This window comes from Homo sapiens, chromosome 8, assembly GCF_000001405.40.
Source record: "Homo sapiens chromosome 8, GRCh38.p14 Primary Assembly".
NCBI classification, from domain to species: Eukaryota; Metazoa; Chordata; class Mammalia; order Primates; family Hominidae; genus Homo; species Homo sapiens.
In genome coordinates this window covers 69760698-69779668 of record NC_000008.11, presented here as the reverse complement: position 1 = coordinate 69779668, position 18971 = coordinate 69760698, and the positions used below count along the sequence as shown (strand labels likewise).

General features: G+C 41.8%; 1 protein-coding gene across 3 annotated transcripts in view; it reads left to right on the top strand.

Annotated features, from left to right (window-relative positions):
* SLCO5A1 (solute carrier organic anion transporter family member 5A1) overlaps nucleotides 1-18971 on the top strand; it is a 167933-nt gene that overhangs the window by 55310 nt on the left and 93652 nt on the right. For all 3 annotated transcript variants that reach the window (NM_030958.3, NM_001146008.2, NM_001146009.1), the window contains one exon: nucleotides 17794-17926. In NM_030958.3, coding sequence (NP_112220.2) covers nucleotides 17794-17926 — 133 coding nt within the window. The remainder of the gene's footprint in view (nucleotides 1-17793; nucleotides 17927-18971) is intronic.

The window sequence follows — 18971 nt, the reverse complement described above, 5'->3', positions numbered from 1 at the left end:
TTCTCAGGGACTCAGCTTTCTCATCTGTAAATTGAAAATGACAGTATGCTTTTTTCCATAAGGTTGTTAGTGTTGATGGCACAAGTAATGTGAAGTACCTAGTGTAGTTTCTGAAAGGTAGTCATTAAATAACAGTTATGATTCTATTTTACTTCAGCATGAATTAAGGTTCAATTAAAATACTGCTTTGGGTTTATGCCTTTATAAGTTGAACCTCTGAGATACTGCCAGCTCTGGAAAAATTGATTTTACAAATAAATTTTCTTTTTATGCAAATAGTCTTCTGATTTCCTTGCATAATTTTATTCTACATAGTTAACATGTTAAAACTATAAACTTTATAGAGAAATGGCTTTTTCAGATATGCGTCTAAATAAAAATTTACCCATACTTGTGTGGTTTATAGTCATAGCTTAAATAATTATAACTACCTTAGGGGTGAAAATTAAAATAATGTATGCAAACATTTTGCTGATACCTGGAACACAGTAAATGCTTAATAAAAGACTGCCACGGTTTATTATAAGGGCCGGCAAACTTTTTATATAAAGGGTCAGATAGTAAATATCTTAAGCTTTGTGGGCTGTACCATGTCTGTTGCAGTCGCTCAACTCTGCCATTTTGGTGTAAGTAGCCATACACTATACATAAATGAATCCATATAGCTGTTTTCTAATAAAACTGTATTTACCAGATCTGCTGGTAGTTTGTTAACCCTTGAATTGTTATAATAGTTTGGCCTATAAGAAGTCATCTTGAAGTACTAGGCAGATCAATCTTATAGAAAATGGGATGGTTGCTTTGCAAATACTGTCCTGTACATACATTCTTCAGAGATTATTGATGTTCAGGATGTGTCAGGTGCCCCTGCAAGAAATGCTATAGACATAAGAACAAATAAAACAAGTCCATTGTCCTGTAAAGGCCTTCTTCAAGGTAAAAAAATACTGATTTGTCCTAACTTTACACAAAGATAGCACATTTGATGGCTGGAGTATTAGCAGCTGAATAATATAAAGCTACTACTAATTCCCAAAGATATGTTTAATTTTTTTGCTTATTTTAATATGTATTCAATTAGAGAAAACTGAAAATATGAAAAGTTATAAGGAAAACACCAAAATCCCACATTGTAATTTCACTAACCTGAGCTAACAACTTTTAACACATGGATGCATTTCCTTCTATTCTATTTTTTTTTAATGACTTTTTGGAAGCCTATTTTACATACCATGTTTACCTACTCTAAGTATACAACTCAATGATGTAAATGTATAGAGTTGTGCAACCACTTCCAGAATCCACTTTTAGATCTCTGGTCCTTCCTTTTATTCCTGAGATAAAATTGACATAAAATAAACTGTACATAATTAAATATACAATTTGAAAAGGTTTAACACATATATGCACACACACACACACACACACACACACACACACCCCATACATATATGTAAATATGCAATAGTCCCCCATTGTCTGCAGGGGATACCCCCGAACCCTTGATGCATGCCTAAAACCTCGTATAGAACTGAACCCTATATATACTGTCTTTTCATACGTATACATACCTATAACAAAGTTTAATTTATAAATTAGTCACAGTAGGAGATTAACAACAACAATAATAAAATGGAACAATTGCAAGAATATACTATGATAAAATTTATGTGAATGTGGTCTCTCTCTCAAAATATCTTATTGTACTGTGCTCACCCTTCTTGTGGTGATGTGAGATTATAAAATGTCTGTGTGATGAGATGAAGGGAGATGAATGACGTAGGCACAGTTGACAGTTGTGGAGTTGACCTTCTAACGACACTCAGAGGAAGGACCGTCTGCTTCTGGCATCCAGTCACGACGACCTCGACGGCTGGATGTCAGGAGCAGATGATGTTGATGACTAACGCGTGGGTAGCATAAACAGCGTCGGGACGCTGGACAAAGGGAGGATTCACATCCCCGGTGGGGACAGAGCTGAACAATATGAAATTTCACCAGGCTACTCAGAACAGCATGCAATTTAAAACTTAAGAATTGTTGATTTCTGGAATTTTCCATTTAATATTTTTGGACTGCAATTGGCTGTGGGTAATTGTTATATTGGAAAGTGAAACCAAGGATAAGTGGGGACTACTGCTACCACCCCACCCCCCACCCACACACACCCCAGTGAAGCCATCACCACAGTCAAGATGGCAAACAGATCCAGATCCAACATTGCCAAGAGTGGTTTTGGGCCTCTTTTGAATCCCTCCTTCCGCCTGACCTCCTCAGTCCCCGGGTAACATTGCTCTGGTTTCTTATTACTATGGGATAGTTCACGTTTTCTAGAATTTCATAAATTGAATCATCCAGTGTGTACTCTTTTATGTCTGCTTTCTTTCACTCAACATAATTATTATGAGATTTCTCCACATTTCAGCAAGTATCAATAGTTCATTTCTTTATATCGCTAAGTAGTATTCCATTGTATGACCATACTATAATTTGTTTATCTCTTCATCTCTAGATAGATGTTTTGGATGTTTCCAGTTTTTCACTACTACGAATAAGGCTTCTATGAACATTTGTATGGACATATGTTTTTATTTCTTTTGTGATCATACCTGGGTGTGGAATGGTTGAATCAAGTGATATGTATATGTTTGACTCCTTAAGACACTACTGAAATGTTCTCCAAAGTGGTTGTACCAATTTTACATTCCCACTAGCAGGGTATGACAGTTCTAGTTTGCATCACATCCTCAAGAACACTTGGTATGGTCTGTCTTTTTAATTTTAACCATTCAAATAGCTGTTTAGTGGTATTTCACTGTGGTTTTAATTTGCACTTTACTGATGACTAATGATGCCGAATATCTTTCATGTGCTTATTTGCCATTTATGTATCTTTTTTGGTAAAGTGCCTGTTCAGAAATATTTTCTACAATTGTTTCCTGCTAGATATTTTTTTTTCTTTGGTTGGTTTGTTTTTTTGAGACAGGGTCTCACTCTGTCGTCCAGGCTGGAGTGCAGTGGCATGATCACGGCTCACTGCAGCCTGAAACTCCTGGACTGAAGTGATCCTCTCACCTCAGCCTCTTGAGTAGCCGGGACTACAGATGCATGTCATCATGCTCAGCTAATTTTTGTATTTTTTGTAGAGATGGGTTCTTGCTATGTTGCCCAGGCTGGTCCTGAACTGAGCTCAAGCAATCCGCCAGCCTTGGCCTTGCAAAATGCTGAGATTACAGGTCTAAGCACCCAGCCCAATCTTTTTTTGAAGGTTTATATAATCGTGACCACATTATTAAAAGAATTTTGTATCCTTCATTTTCACTTAAATTTTAAAATAAGTATTTCTTCAAGCTATAAAAATTCTTCATAAACATTAAAATTAATAGCCACATTGTATCTCAAAATTTAGTTAACAATCACTTTATTATTAATGTTGTTTCTATTATATACATAATATAGTGATAAATGTTACCATGATATATATATGGGAATTAGTGTCCAGAAGCTTGATCGTGTGACTTTGTACCAGCATTGGACAAGAATAACTAACTCATTGATTTTGTTTCTGCACTGAGTGTTATTTCAGTCTTTGTGAGTTTATTAAATTAGAACTGTATCTCATTGTTTGCAGCTTTTTTTCTTTTTCTTTTTCTTTTTTTGAGACAGGGTCTTGGTCATCCAGGCTGGATTGCAGTGGCACAATCATGGCAAACTGCAGCCTAGTCTGCTGGGCTCAAGCCATCTTCCTGGCTCAACCTCCCAAGTAGCTGGGACTACAGGCATCCACCACCACACCTGGCTAATTTTTAATTTTTTTGTAGAGAACTAGGTCTCACTATGTCGCCCAGCTTGGTCTCCAACTCCTGAGCTCAAGTGATCTTCCCGCCGTGGCCTCCCAAAGTGCTAGGATTATAAGCATGAGCCACTGTGTCCAGCTGCAGCTTCTATTTCTTTGATAACTTGTGAGGTTAAAGTTTTTCATGAGTTCCTTTATGTTTTGATAAGTCCCATCCATTTTCTGTTTGTGTTCTAAGGGGATTCATCCTTAACTTTTTATGAAAAATTTTTTGTTCCAAAATATACTTTAAAAAATTTGGCCTAATATTTTACATGCCTTCCTGATAACACCCCGTACTCCTTCCTGAAGATCTGATGAAGTGTATAAACAGTGGTCACTCACAGGTGGCAATCTGATTTTTTTTATTATTATACTTTAAGTTCTAGGGTACATGTGCACAATGTGCAGGTTTGTTATATATGGATACATGTGCCAATCTGTTGTTTTAAAGCCACAGCATGTTAAACCCATTCCCCTTCCATGCCCCAGATACTAATTAAGCATAACTGGCTGCTTCTTATACATTTGTATGTTCCTTTTTAGGGAACACATTATTCTCTAAATAATTTTCAAATTACTTTGAAAATATTTCTAAAGGAAGTTAGTGAATTACAACCAATGATTTCTCTCTATGGCAGCGAGGAGAAAGCTCTCTAAATCTACTGAAACCCTCTTCCCCTCTCATTTGTGACCTGAGATGCTCTCTGGATGTTTCAGCAAAGTGATAGACTATTCCCTGACTGCCGTGGCAGCTGTTCTTTTGCTGTCAGGCCTGTGTCAAAATAATGGAATCACTTAAAATAAAAAAAAAATTGCTGCACAAAATAACTGAGATCAAAGGCCTCTTATCTGCCTGTGCTTGTGAGTGGAAGGAATGAGTTGGAATACTTTTCTTTAAATACAGTGCTCTGGTGCTTTAAAGTACTTTGGCTATTTTTCAGGGAATATGTAAGTTGAAAGAGAGTTGGTATCACTGTTGCAGTATCATGGCGACGTGGATTGTTCTTCATGTCCTCTGTTATCTGCAGTGCTGTGTCACCAAACACATACAAGAGGGTGGCCTCCTATCATTATGCCCCACACCAGGGTTAATAGTCATTTGAGGACTTAGGCATGTGCATAAAATGTTTTTCTGTGGCACCACCCTGGGTGCAGTCCCAGACCCTGAGACTGGACCTATATTAAGCTTGTAACCTTAAACCACTGTGGGCACAGCTCTAAGCAGGGTTCACTGCCATGTGTGGCAGCTGAGAAAGTGGGTTACACACCGGAGGGAATATGGGGGAGCCATGGGCAATGAGCAGTGAGCTGGGGGTGGGGTGTGACTTGGAATCAGAAGGTGACAATTTAGAGACCGAGTTCAAATGAGGGAACAGTAAATCCAGGTCAGTTATAAGGAAGCTCTGAGGACCCAGCAAACCCACCTTGGGATGGTAGTGGCCTGTGGAGAGCCTGGAGAAGGTAAGAGTCAGGGATCTGTGACTGTAAACCATAGGGACCAACTCTGTAAATCAAGGACTCTATTGGGGTGGGATTGGCGGAGGTAGAGATGCTCACTGCAACAGGGCAGCCCTGAGGGCCTAGCACCAGGAGCCTATGGATGATTCTTCAAGGCTCTGATGTAAGGACGAAGCTGCAGCTGCTTCTGTTATTTTACCCAAGATTCAAAGTCCATGTCTTCATCCCTTCTCCATTCAATAAAGGCTTATTAGTGCTTACAGTCAACACTGCTTAGGCACTGATAATGCATCAGTGAGAAAAACAGTCCTTGTTCTCATTGAGCTGACATTCCAGTGGGAGAGGCAGATAATGAACAAATATATAAATGTATGCAGTGCAGTGATATGCACCTTAATGAAAACTGCAGCAGGGTGGGTGACAGCAGAATGGAAGCAGGTGGCAGGTGCCATGTGTAGATGTGTGGAACACTGTGGCTTCTGTAAGGGGTAATATTTGGGCAGAGATCTGGAAGAAGTAAGGGAGTGAGTGAGCCATGTGCATCTGAAGAAAGATCTTCCAGGGAGAAGGGTATCTGAGTGGCCTGGGTTGGTCACCTGTCTACTGATGAATCATGGAGGATGGGGCCCCATGAATGACAGGCTATCAGGACTGTGTGCAATAGGGGTGACCCCCAAAGGAAAATGGAATTGCTTTTACTATAGAAATTCAATAAGCAGAAAGAAAAGATGTCCACCACAGTTGAGGGTGGTGTTTCTTTCACTGAATTCTGCCCCAAAACAGAGAGAATGAATGAGAAGGGGAATTGTTTCCACTTCCAAGAGATGGGGACAACAGGAATGAGGTGGACAGAGAGGCCTTGGACAGCCTCTGGTACTCTGGACTCTCAACTGAATCCCAATGACTGGTGCAAAAGCAGAGAGGGAAGAGGGTGTGGGAGGAAAGATACAAGTGTTCAGGAGACCCGAGGATGAGCGCCTGGACTCCCCATTCTAGATGCTGGAGCCTGCCCTCAATAGCACAGTGGACGTGACTTGTTCTTCTACTGCCATCTGGGAAACAACAGAAGACCATTTCCAAATGCTATTGCATGGTAGAGGGAGCCAGTTCTGTACTGCCGTCACCCTCTAGGGCACGCAGAGAAGAGGGACTGGCAGCCTGCATGCAGCTGTGTGTGCATCAAAGCCACAGGATGGGCCTAGGGTGCAGGCGATGGTGGTCACTCTTCTCTGCCTCTCCCTGAGTGTGGCCAGTTGCAATTCCCTGAATACACCATGCACGTTCAAATCTGTGTGCCTTTGCCCATGTGTGCTGCTCAGCCTTTAGTGTCTAGCATCCATGAAGCCTTCTCTGTCCTCCCTCCCCAACTAATTATAACGTATCATTCCTTTCCCACAGTCCACAGCATATAATTGGTGCTTGTTGCACCCACTCACTGAACCTTGGATCATGGTGAGTTTTACATGTGTCTTTCCTGGAAGAAAATGCATCAGTTTTGTTCACCTTTGCAGTGAGCCCTCCCTGTCCCAGTGCCTTGCATCACAGAGTGCATGGATGAGTGGGTGATCTCTGACCTTTTAGGGCATAAGGCCAGGAAGGAGGTGACTATGCAGCCCTACATGATGCTGGTTTTGATTGGGCCCCTCAGTTTCCCACGTCCAGGGAGGCCCATGGCTCCCTGGCTGACCACGGTTAGGAGCTCCAGAATCATTTCTTTTCCTTTCCTTTCCTTTCCTTTCCTTTCCTTTCCTTTCCTTTCCTTTCCTTTCCTTTCCTTTCCTTTCCTTTCCTTTCCTTTCCTTTCCTTTCTCCTCCCTCCCTCCTTCCCTCCTTTTTTTTCTTTTCTTTTTTCTCGCTCTGTCACCCAGGCTGAAGAACAGTGGTGCAATTATAGCTCACTGCAGCCTCAACCCCCATCACCCCACGGGCTGGAGGGATCCTTCCACTCCAGCCTCCCAAATAGCTGGGACTACAGGCATGTGCCACCACACCTGTCTAATTTTTAATTTTTTTTTGTAGAGATGAAGTCTCACTATGTTGCCCAGGGTGGTCTTGAACTCCTGGACTCAAATGATCCTCCTGCCTTGACCTCCCAGAGTGCTGGGATTATATGCCAGAATTATTTCTTGTGATTCAGGGGCATAGATTTCCAGGCAGGTTGAATTATTCAATATAGATTGTAGAGTTCAGAGAGTTGTTCCCCGAGGTTGCAAGTGATCCCATGGAACAACGCTGTTTGAGATAATCCCTGATGCAGCCCTGTTGGGTTTTTGTGATGAAGAAGGAGGAGCATCTCTGAATTCTGCCAGGAATGAGGGCAGCAGTCTTGATGAGTGGTGAAGTAGCTCCCAGAGAATGTTGCAGGGTGCAATTTCTCCCCATCTCTAGAGAAGCCATTGGGAAGGTCAACCCATAGGACCCTCCCCAGGGCCAGGCTGGAGCTGAATAAAGAGCCCTCTGGCTCGTCTTAGTGTCAGCAGTTATTCATCAGAGAACTTGAATTAGAACTCACATTTCTCATTACTGGATAATGTGAGAGAGCAAGCATGGGTTCCAGCTAATCAAACATGCCATGTGCCAAGTGAGCTTGAGTCCTGGAGAGAATTAACTCTAAGCCTCTTAGGCTACCATCCTTTACCCACTGGATGAGCCCGAGGGGCATCTGGGGCAGCAGTGACAGAGACCTCTGGGCAAGATATGCCCAGAAGAGGTGTGATGCTGCGCCCAGCTTCTCATGAGCGATCACCAAAACTGATCACAAAATATGCACCACATAAGAGAAGAGTAAGATAAACACTGTTAAACAAGATCATGTAAGAAGACTAAAAAAGGAAAGAAAAAGCATTCAACACTAAAAATAAAGTAAAATTAAGGAATATAACAAAGGTTTAAAGTTCTAAAATCAAGATAATTGCTACAAATAAATTTAGCCTAATACAAACAGCACTAAAAAAGTAGGCAAACTTAAAAGTATAGGAGACAGAAAGTAACAACACATTCAAAAGAAAAACATGAAAGTTAATTTTTAAAATATAACACCCCAAGAAATGTTTTAAAAGATAAAATACATTTAAAATGATGTAAGATCAGGTGGGGCGTGGTGGTTCACACCTGTAATCCCAGGATTTTGGGAGGGTGAGGTGGGCAGATCACTTGAGGTCAGAAGTTCAAGACCAGCCTGGCCAACACGGTGGAACCCCATCTCTACTGAAAATACAAAATTAGCCGGGCGTGGTGGTGGGCACCTGTGATCCCAGCTACTCAGGAGGCTGAGGCAGGAGAATCGCTTGAACCCGGGAGGCGGAGGTTGCAGTGAGCCAAGGTAGCACCACTGCACTCCAGCCTGGGTGACAAGAGTGTAACTCCATCTAAAATAAAATAAAGTAAGATCAAAAGCTAAAAGTGAAAGAGAGATTAGAGTATAATAAAGGTTAAATCTGCAGGAGAAAGTTAAAAATGTGATGGTAAATGGGATTAAAAATAGCAGTTAATGTGCTTTAATGTCAAAAGCAGAAGTGATCATAGAATAAGGGGAAGAGTAATTTAAGAAGAAAATGAAATGCAAGTTCTGAAGGTCCAGGAGCTTGGGGCAGATCAGTGCAGGAAACACTGGCGGGGGCAGTGAGGAGGCAGCTAGGAAGCTGTGGCAGGGCCAGGCTTCTTGAGAGCCACCTCTCGGCTGAGGCAGCTGTGATGTCCAAGGCCAGGGTGAGATGGAGAGCTGGCTTTCCCTGTTGAAGGTGGCCTTTTTGGAAGGGTCTGAAAAGATCAGAAACCCTTCCCATCATAAGTGGCTTCTTAACTCCACGAAAGTACACAGCTGAGCTGGGAATGGATTTGCGACAGGGGCGGGTGTGTATATGTGGGTGGGTGTCGCAATCTTTACGTTGGGGTCTGCTTCATTAAAAAAATTTAATTAACTAATTAATTAATTATAAAATAATAAAGATGGGTCTCACTATGTTGCTCTGGCTAGTCTTGAACTCGTGGGCTCAAGTGATCGTCCCACTTCGGCTTCCCAAAGTATTGGGATTACAGGTGTGAGATACCGTGCCGGGCCGGGATCTGGTTCTTTGCAGCATATACATAATAAAGCTTCAAATAGGTCATACAATCTTCAGAGCAATAATCTCAGCTAGATATTTGTAACAGCATAAAGCTGGCGTCCATAGGGGATTGACTATGAAGTATAAGATAACCACCCGATGAGGCACCATTTAGACATAGCAAATGTTATGGAAGAATATTTATTGACATAGAAAAAGCTGGAGATAGCTACATGAAAAAACATAATTACGGAACAATAATTACTGTGTAATCTAACTATTTAAAAAGTTTATACAGTAGATGAATACATGAATAGTATGAAATATTTATTACTATTGTTATTGTCACTGTGGTATTATTTGGGTAGTAGAGATTGTGGTGATTTTTTAAAAATTATTTTTTGTGCTCTTGAGAGTTCTCCCTAAATAAATCCATCTTATATTTAGTAATCATTAGGAAAAACCCTAAAGTTTAATTTAAAATAATTATAGCAACAGGCATAGACACACACGTGTTCAACTCCAGAAAGATACCCTACACTGGCCTTTCTGCAAGGAAAGAAAGGCCAGATGTTCTCTTTCCCAACTCCCATCTCCCCAGCCTGTCACAAAAACCAGTTCCTGGATCAAAAATAATGAATCCAGAAGAGATAACTTACTAAGATAACATAAAGGTGTTAAGTATGTCATGTATTAAATAATGTATGTATGTTATCTATACAAAATTAATATGTAATAATAGTTATTAGAGAATTAATAGGTAATTATTCAACATAAAAATCCAACTTAATATTTCTTCTATGTTTATTATATTAAGCAGGTTATATGCATAATCTTATTAGGGCTCAGAGAGAGTGACTTTTGACATGGCACAGGTGTGGGGGCTGGGGTCTGATCTGAGGATGTTCACTTCAGTGCTTCCTATGTCAATAGTTCAGTATTTTAGGTTTTGGGGCAGATTCAGAAAAGTGTGATTCATGTTGCCTGCCCTCAAAGTCTGAAGTCTGTCTAACCTAGCTGGAAAGATGGAAAAAAGTGATGAATGGGTGTGTAGTGATAATACACAACATAATAAAGTGGGCAGTGCAGATAATACTTGATGTGAGCACCTAGGACAGACATTCCTGTGGCCTGTGTGGGTCAGGCGAGTCCTCAGTGAAGCAGTGGGCTCTCAAGGATGGGGAGTGTAGCCCATGTGGGTCACTGAGCTAGCTCTAGGTCAAGTGTACACAGGATGTTCTGGAGAAAGAATGACCATGCGACCAGCACATAGACAGCAGACTCTGGGGACTAGGTCAAGCCTGAAGGGATGGTACCAGAAGATGTCAGTGTGCCGACTGAGTGAACGGGGTGGAAGCACAGTCAGGAGAGAAATCATGTCCAAGGCTGAGGGAGGCAGGCTGTGGTCAAGGTGAGGACAGACATGTTAGACGAGCAGTGAAGTAATAGCAAGAGAAGGGAAAGAGGAATGATATGGCTTCAGTTGGGTTGGTATCTGCTAGGGACTGAATTGTGTCCCCCAAGGATTCATATGTTGAAGCCTTGACCCCCAGTGTGATTGTATGTGGAGAGGGAGCCCTTAGGGAGGTTGTTAAGGTGAGATGAGGTCATGTGCCTGGTCCCTAATCTATGAGGTCCTTATAAGAAGAGGAAGAGACACCGGAACGCTCTCTTCCTGCTCGTGTAGAGAGAGGCCAGGTGAGGACGCAGCAAGAAGGTAGCCAACCACAAGACAGGAAGAGAGGCCTCCTCAGAAGCCAGTGCCGATGGCACCTTGATCTCAGACTCCACCCTCTTAAACTGAGGAAATCAATGTCGGTTTCTTAAGCCACCCAGCGTGTGGCATTTTGTCATGGCAGCCTGAGATGACCAATACAGTCTAAATCTATATAAGTCTAAGTCTGTGACTATGGGCAAGTGATGGGCATTCCTTTGATGTGTAACCTGTACATCTTGCCAAGGTTGGGAGGAGGTACACCCAGAGAAAGGAGGAACCAGAGACATAGGATAAGAAATAAGGGTCATGGTCATTCTTTTGATCATGATATGTAATCAATCTATAAAAAATTCATATTGAATGCCTCCCATGTCCAAAGAGGCAAGGTCTTACTCTGTTGCACAGGCTGGAGTGCAGTGGCATGATCATGACTCATGCAGCCTTGACCTCCCAAACTCAGGTGATCCTCCCACTTCAGCCTCCCGAGTAGCTGGGACTACAGGTGCGTGCCACCATGCCTGGCTAATATTTGTATTTTTGGTAGAGATGCAGTTTTGCCATGTTGCCCAGGCTGGTCTTGAGCTCCTGAGCTCAAGCAATCAGCCTGCCTCAGCCTCCCAAAGTGCTGGGATTACAGGCATGGGGATTACAGGCCACAACTGGCCTAAAACAGCTTATTCTTTTTCTTTTTCTTTTTGTTTTTTTTTTTTTTTTTTTTTTGAGATGGAGTCTCATTCTGTCACCCAGGCTGGACTGCAATGGCACAATCTTGGCTCACTGCAACCTCTGCCTCTCGGGTTCAAGTGATTCTCCTGCCTCAGCCTCCTGAGTAGCTGGGACTACAGGTGCCTGCCGCCATGCCTGACTAATTTTTGTATTTTTAGTAGAGATGGGGTTTCACCATGTTGGTCAGGCTGGTCTCGAACTCCTGACCTCATGATCTGCCTGCCTTGGCCTCCCAAAATGCTGGGATTACAGGCATGAGCCACCATGCCTGGCCTAAAACAGCTTATTCTTATATAGCCTGTGTGCCAGGCATTCCACATGCTTTACAGGTATTAACTCCTTTCATGCCTATGATAACCTGTGAGTAAATATTTCTATCATCTCAGCTTTACAGATGAGGAAACAGGCTCAGAGAGCTTAAGCAACTTGCTCAAGGTCCTAAGATTGTTGAGAATTGGAGCTGAGATTTGAACACATGATTTTGGAGTCTGTGCTTTATCCACTATGTAGTACTATGTAGGATGTGATTCCTGCTGTCAAGGATGCAGAGTTTCTTGAAAAGATCAGATATAAATATTTGACAGGATAAATAGAAATAAAAAGTAGGGCACATTTAATCTCAGATGAATGGAATGATTTAGCGTGCTCTCAGAGGGGAGTGGGCACTCCATTGCCTGTAAGATAATCCAATGGGGTGCAGGAAGGACAGATTGGGACTTCTATTTGTGTTTATATTACTGGTTCATTGAATAGCCCAAACTTCCAAGTTCTTCATCAAGAGAGAAAACCAATGAAGGTGTAATCAGATCTGTTGGGACACAGTCAAAAAACATGAAATTTATCAAGTTCACTGCATGAAATATGGGTTGATATCTGCTGTTATTAGCTAAGATGTCAGGAGCTGGTGTACACTGAGGAAGAGTTTCATCATGACATCTACTGTTGTTCATGACAGTAGAGCGTTCACTGGCTGAATGGGAGCAGTGAGAGTAACGAGCTTGTGAGTGCAGAGGGCTGTGTGCCTCCTCCATGCGCAGGGCACTGGGGACATAGCAGTGAGCACCACTGACCAGCATCTCTTGAGGAGCTTATGTTCCAGTTGGGGAAGACAGATGATAAACAAGATGGACAAAGGAAATATGTAGTGTTAGGTGGCAATATATACTAGGAGAAAAATAAAGCGGGAAAAGGGGTGGTAAGAATTGGGCAAAGAGTCTTTAATTTTTAGTTGAGGTGGCCATGTCAGGCATCAGTGAGAAGGAACTGTTGGAGTAACTAACTGGAGGGAGTGAGTGAAGGAACCGTGTGGCCATGTGGCAGAAGAGCATTCAAAACACACACATGCACACACACATGCATACACACACACACACAAACACACACATGTGCACACAGAGCAACTGGTAAGACCCTAAGGTGGAGATGTGCCTGGAAGGTTAAAGAACGAGGAGACCAGTATGACTGGAGCCTAGGGAACAGGGAGTGATGAGAGATGAAGTGGGGAGACAAAGGAGAGGGTGCCAATGTGTCGGCACGTCCCTGTAGCTACACATGGGTTTCATGCTGTGAGTGGGATGGGAAGGCACTGGAGGGTGTGAGCCAAGAAGTGACATGATCTGGCTCATGTTTCTAGAGGATATTAAGGCTGCTGTGTTGACATACATTGTAGGGAAGTAAGGGCAGAAGCCAGGAGACCAGCTGGAAGGCCTAGGGCAGTTTTCCAGATGAGCCTGGACCAGAGTATTAGCTATGGAGGTGAGAAGGGGCTGGATGCTGTATATAATTTGATGGGAGAACCAACAGGATTTACTGATGCATTCGAAGTCAGCTGTGAGAGAGAGACTAATAGTACCTATGCATTACACAGAAAACACTTCCATTCAAGATAAGTGCTTAAAACCTTTTACTTCTAGAGATGCATGATGGAGTGTGAGGGCTGCTAGAATAGACAAAAAAGAGTCTACAGGGATTCTGAGGAGAGAGGCCACTTAGGGGAGGACAGTCAGGCCTGGACTTGGTTGGACCTTGAAGAATAGGTAGGATCCAGAGAGTTGGAAAGGCCCAGGCAGAGTATGGTGAGGTCAGCAAAGGAAGGGACCTGGTTCCACCTAGGCCTGTGCTGAGCATGGGGCCTGGAGTACAGGCTTTAGATCTTACAGTTTTAAGATAGAATGGTAGCAGGAGGCCGGTTTGTCCTGCACTTGAACTCCAGGTAGGACAGTTTAGACCTTTACCTTCAGTCAGTAGGAAGGACTGAGAGTTTTCGACTGGAAGAGTTGAGTGGTACGGGTTTGCTTCAACAATTTACTTCTCTTATAAGCTCTGAATGAGAACCATTGGTTAATCCACTAATGTTAGTGCAGTAGCCAGAAAGGCTTCTTCTAGCCAGAAATATTTCTTCCCAGAGAATGACTTATTTACTAAATGGGACCAGGTCAAGAATTATATATGTATATGTGCCTCTGTGTGTGTGTGTGTGTGTATATATATATATATAAATACTCATACAGAGTAATATACATATACACACATTCTTATATAACTGTAATATACCGTCATATATGTACATGTATACATATATAATTGCAATATACTGTAATATATACACATATACACATATATGTAGTTGTATATGTGTGTATATGTGTGCCATTGTGTGTGTGTGTATATATATATGTATCTGTATACACACAGGCACACATATACATACATATACATACACAGGCACACGTATACATACATATATATACACACAGGCACACAGATATATATGGGAGTGATTCCACTGGACTTGCTTGCTATATAATAGAAATAAATGTTTCTGGTTACTTTTCCAAATTTTAAAAAGCTTTATCTATATTTTAGGGAGTAGTTAAGGGTTTTTTTGGTGAATGCTATTTAATGAATTTTCCTCTTACTGGATATTGTGTGTCTGGCCTGTACACATCCTGCACAATCCCGCTTGCCACTCCAAGATGTTGCAGTCAGGTGCACCTGGCATAAACACTATGGCGGAAATACCCTTTTCCCTGTCTGTGTGTGTAAGATAGCTTCTTTCATGCCAGAGGAACTATTTTGGGAGAATGATTCATGTCACATTTTGGCCTCATTACAGTTTTAAGTTGTTAATGATGCCGGTTTGTCTGGAGGTGGAAACATAAGTGTTGTCTTCATATGCGTATGGGAATACCTATAACAGAAAAAGTACTTTCTATTCTTGAGTTACAGTCTAGACTATAAACAAAGAGATTAACAAGATCTTTATCAAAATTCTAATTTTATTGATGAGAAGCATGCTTCTGAAAAAGTACGAATTACTTGTGGCTCTGCCTCCATTCTCCATTTCCAAACACAGATGGAGAGTCAAAGAACTTAATGTCTTATTGTTACAAGCAGATGATTCTATAAAATAAACACTGTGCTTTCTCTTTTGAAATAGTGTGAAAAGTGAGAGCAGGTGTTAAATTACTGTCTTGCTGTTTGTGGTTAAAAGTAACAGGAGGTACAAAATCATTCAAAGTGTATTTAGGTGTGAATGATAAAGTAAGGTGAAGCCATTCTAATTATTCCACTTTGCTTTCTGGTAACTTTAAAGGATATGGCAAAGCTTCCTTATTTACTCAGTGGTTAACAATGTATGCTGACATTGGAAATGAGGAACTCTTAACATCTGAGTTTGTTACCAGGCCTTGTACACAACAGTGCCATAAAAGTGTTTATTGGCTGGGTGTGGTGACTCACGTCTGTAATCTCAGCACTTTGGGAGGCCGAAGTGGGTGGATCACGAGGTCAGGAGTTCGCGACCAGTATGGCCAACGTGGTAAAACCCTGTCTCTACTAAAAATACAAAAATTAGCCCGGTGCGATGGCAGGTGCCTGTAATCCCAGCTACTGGGGAGGCTGAGGCAAGAGAATCGCTTGAACCGGGGCAGCAGAGGTTGCAGTGAGCCAAGATCACACCACTGTACTCCAGCCTGGGCGACAGAGAATCCGTCTCAAAAAAAAAAGTGTTTATTGATTTGTCCCAAAATAACTGAGTTCAAATAGGAAAAAATTAGGTTTGGAATGTGGCTAGATTTTTCTATGATTCTCAAGGAATTCCATATCCTATCTTAAAATTTTAAAATTGACAAAATATTACTTATTTTATAATTTTAAATTATAAAAGTGAAAATTGAAAAATAAAAAATTAAAGGAATGCTAATGAATTTGTTGTTGTTTGCTATACACCCTTTTTTTTTTTTTTTTTTTTTTTTTTTTTTTTTTTTTGGAGTCTTGCTCTGTTTCCTAGCCTGGAGTGCAGTGGTGTGATCATGCCTCACAGCAATCTCTGCCTACCAGGTTCAAGTGATTTTCCCACCTCAGCCTCCCACCCAGCATAGCTGGGATTACAGGTATGCATCACCATGCCTGGCTGATTTTTGTATTTTTGGTAGAAATGGGGTTTCACCATGTTGGCCAGGCTGGTCTCGAACTCCTGACCTCAAGTGATCCACCTGCCTCAGCCTCCCAAAGTTCTGGGATTATAGGCATGAGCCACTGCGCCTGGCCTGTTTTTCTTTTTTTTTTTTCTGAGATGGAGTTTTTGCTCTTGTTGCCCAGACTGGAGCGCGATGGCGTTATCTTGGCTCTCTGCAACCTCCATCTCCCAGGTTCAAGCGATTCTCCTGCCTCAGCTTCCCAAGTAGCTAGGATTACAGGCACGTGCCACCACACCCAGCTAATTTTGTATTTTTAGTAGAGACGAGGTTTCACCATGTTGGCCAGGCTGCTCTTAAATTCCTGACCTCAGGTGATCCACCAGCCTTGGCCTCCCAAAGTGTTGGGATTACAGGCGTGACCCACCGTGCCTGGCCTATATGCCCATTTTGATGGCAAGATTTTTGGATACAGTGACAACCTTTTTGATACACTGGCAGTGAGACATACTCTCCCCACCCCCTTTGGGCATGTGCTTTAAAAAATTATTTTCTGGTTCATCTGTGGTTGGTGCTTTCCATTTGGAACTTTTGACCCATGCCATTTAGGTAGATTTATTCATATTTGAGTAAGATACTTCAATTAACAGTAAACCAAATGCATTGTAACATCTTATTTAATTCTAACATGGTGGTTTGAAAAAATATTAGCAATGTGAGGACACTTAAGCAGTTTTGTCAATTCAGCTGAATCCAGCCTCATAGCAAAATCTGGTCTTAAATTCCCTCATCGTGCTAGAATCTTCTAGCTATGATGAGTGAAACCTACTTTTTCCTTTTTTTTTCCTTATCTTAGACATAAAAAAAATCTTCTCTTGGTTATTCAGTGACTGCCTCATTAACTAGCCTGGGTCTCTATTTCTAGAAATTAGAATTTAGTGGTTCTGGAGTGGGGTCTGAACACTTATATTAAAAAACAGGGCCGGGTGCTGTGGCTCATGCCTGTAATCCCAGCACTTTGGGAGGCCGAGGCAGGTGGATCATGAGGTCAGGAGATCGAGACCATCCTGGCTGACATGGTGAAACCCCATCTCTATTAAAAATACAAAAAATTAGCTGGGTGTGGTGGCGGGCGCCTGTAGTCGCAGCTACTCAGGAGGCTGAGGCAGGAGAATGGCATGAACCTGGGAGGTGGAGCTTGCAGTGAGCTGAGATCACGCCACTGCACTCCAACCTGGGTGACAGAGCAAGACTCTGTCTCAAAAAAGAAAGAAAGAAAGAAAGAAAGAAAGAAAGAAAGAAAGAAAGAAAGAAAGAAAGAAAGAAAGAAAGAAAGAAAGAAAGAAAACAAAACAAAAGCCACCAAAAAGCTCTCCCAATGATTCTTACGCTCTAAGAGGACAATAGGTTAACAAAGGGCAAGCTTCAAAACCAAGATGTAGACATGGACACAAATCTCCAAAGGTCTCCGTTTTTGGAAGTTAACTGGATTGAACTGTGAGATGTCTGTGGTATGAGAGTGAAATGAGAGAACTCCTAACATGTAATAAAACGTCGCTGTATTTCACATTTCCCCTTCTGTCTTCTCAGCCATCATGTATGTCATGGGAGCACTTGGCCCTGCAGTGGGATATTTATTAGGTGGACTTCTTATTGGTTTTTATGTTGATCCCAGAAATCCTGTTCACCTTGACCAGAATGACCCTCGTTTCATTGGAAACTGGTAAGTTCTGTTTTCTAATTTTTAAATTTCAGTTCTTACTAATAATAGTTAAAGTCATGGTACACTTGTATTTAAAATTTTTCCAATGGGGAGACAAAAAATAGCTGAAAGGTGCCTGGGAAGGGGTGACAGGCAGGTTAATAACATCCCAAAGAAAGCTACGTCCTAATCCCCAGAACCTATGAATATGTTATCTTACATGGCAAGAGGGACTTTGCAGATGTGATTAAGGACTCTGATATTATTTTAGATGACCTGGGTGGGCCCAGTGTAATCAAAGGAAAGACGGAAGCAGGAGGGCAAGAATCAAAGAAGGAGATTCGATGATTAAAGCACAGGTTGGAGTGTTGTGCCTTGAAGATGGAGGAAGGGGCTGCGAGCAAAGAATGCAGGTGGACTCTAGAAGCTGGAAAAGCAAGGAAATGGGTTCTTCCCCAGCCTCCAGCCCTTTCAACCATTTTACACTTCTGACCTCCAGAACTGTGACATGAATCAGATTGTGTTGCCTGAAGCCACGAAGTGTGTGGTAACTTCTTATAGCAGAGAGCTTATACAGAGGGTTTGGGGACACTGGCTTAATCCACATTCTTTAGGATTGGGGTGCTTCCTTTATAGCAGAGTGAAGGAAAAGGACTGCTGTGGCTGCGTGGGGACTTTCCTGCTGACTTTAATCATACCTTTCAGTATCTTTTCTGTGCCTTAAAAAAATACATTGTTTTCACTTTCTTATTGTATTTGGTGTCTGCTTTACAACCCTCTCCCACTGCCTGGAATGCCAGTCCTGCTTTTCCATTGTCACACTCTCAGTGACCCTTTTTTCTTGCTAATATTTTGTTTCCTCATGTGTGCTAGAGATTTAGCTGCTTTCTCGCTTGCTAGGACTTAATTGTCCTGGAAAATAAGTAATGCTTAGGACTCAGAATGAGAACTTCAACTTTGGATGTTATGTTATTTATCCAAATAACAGAGTTGCGTTTGAGTTCTTGCAGTCCTCAACTTGAACATGATAAGTTATTTTTCACAATTGCAAGCACTAACTGAAAAT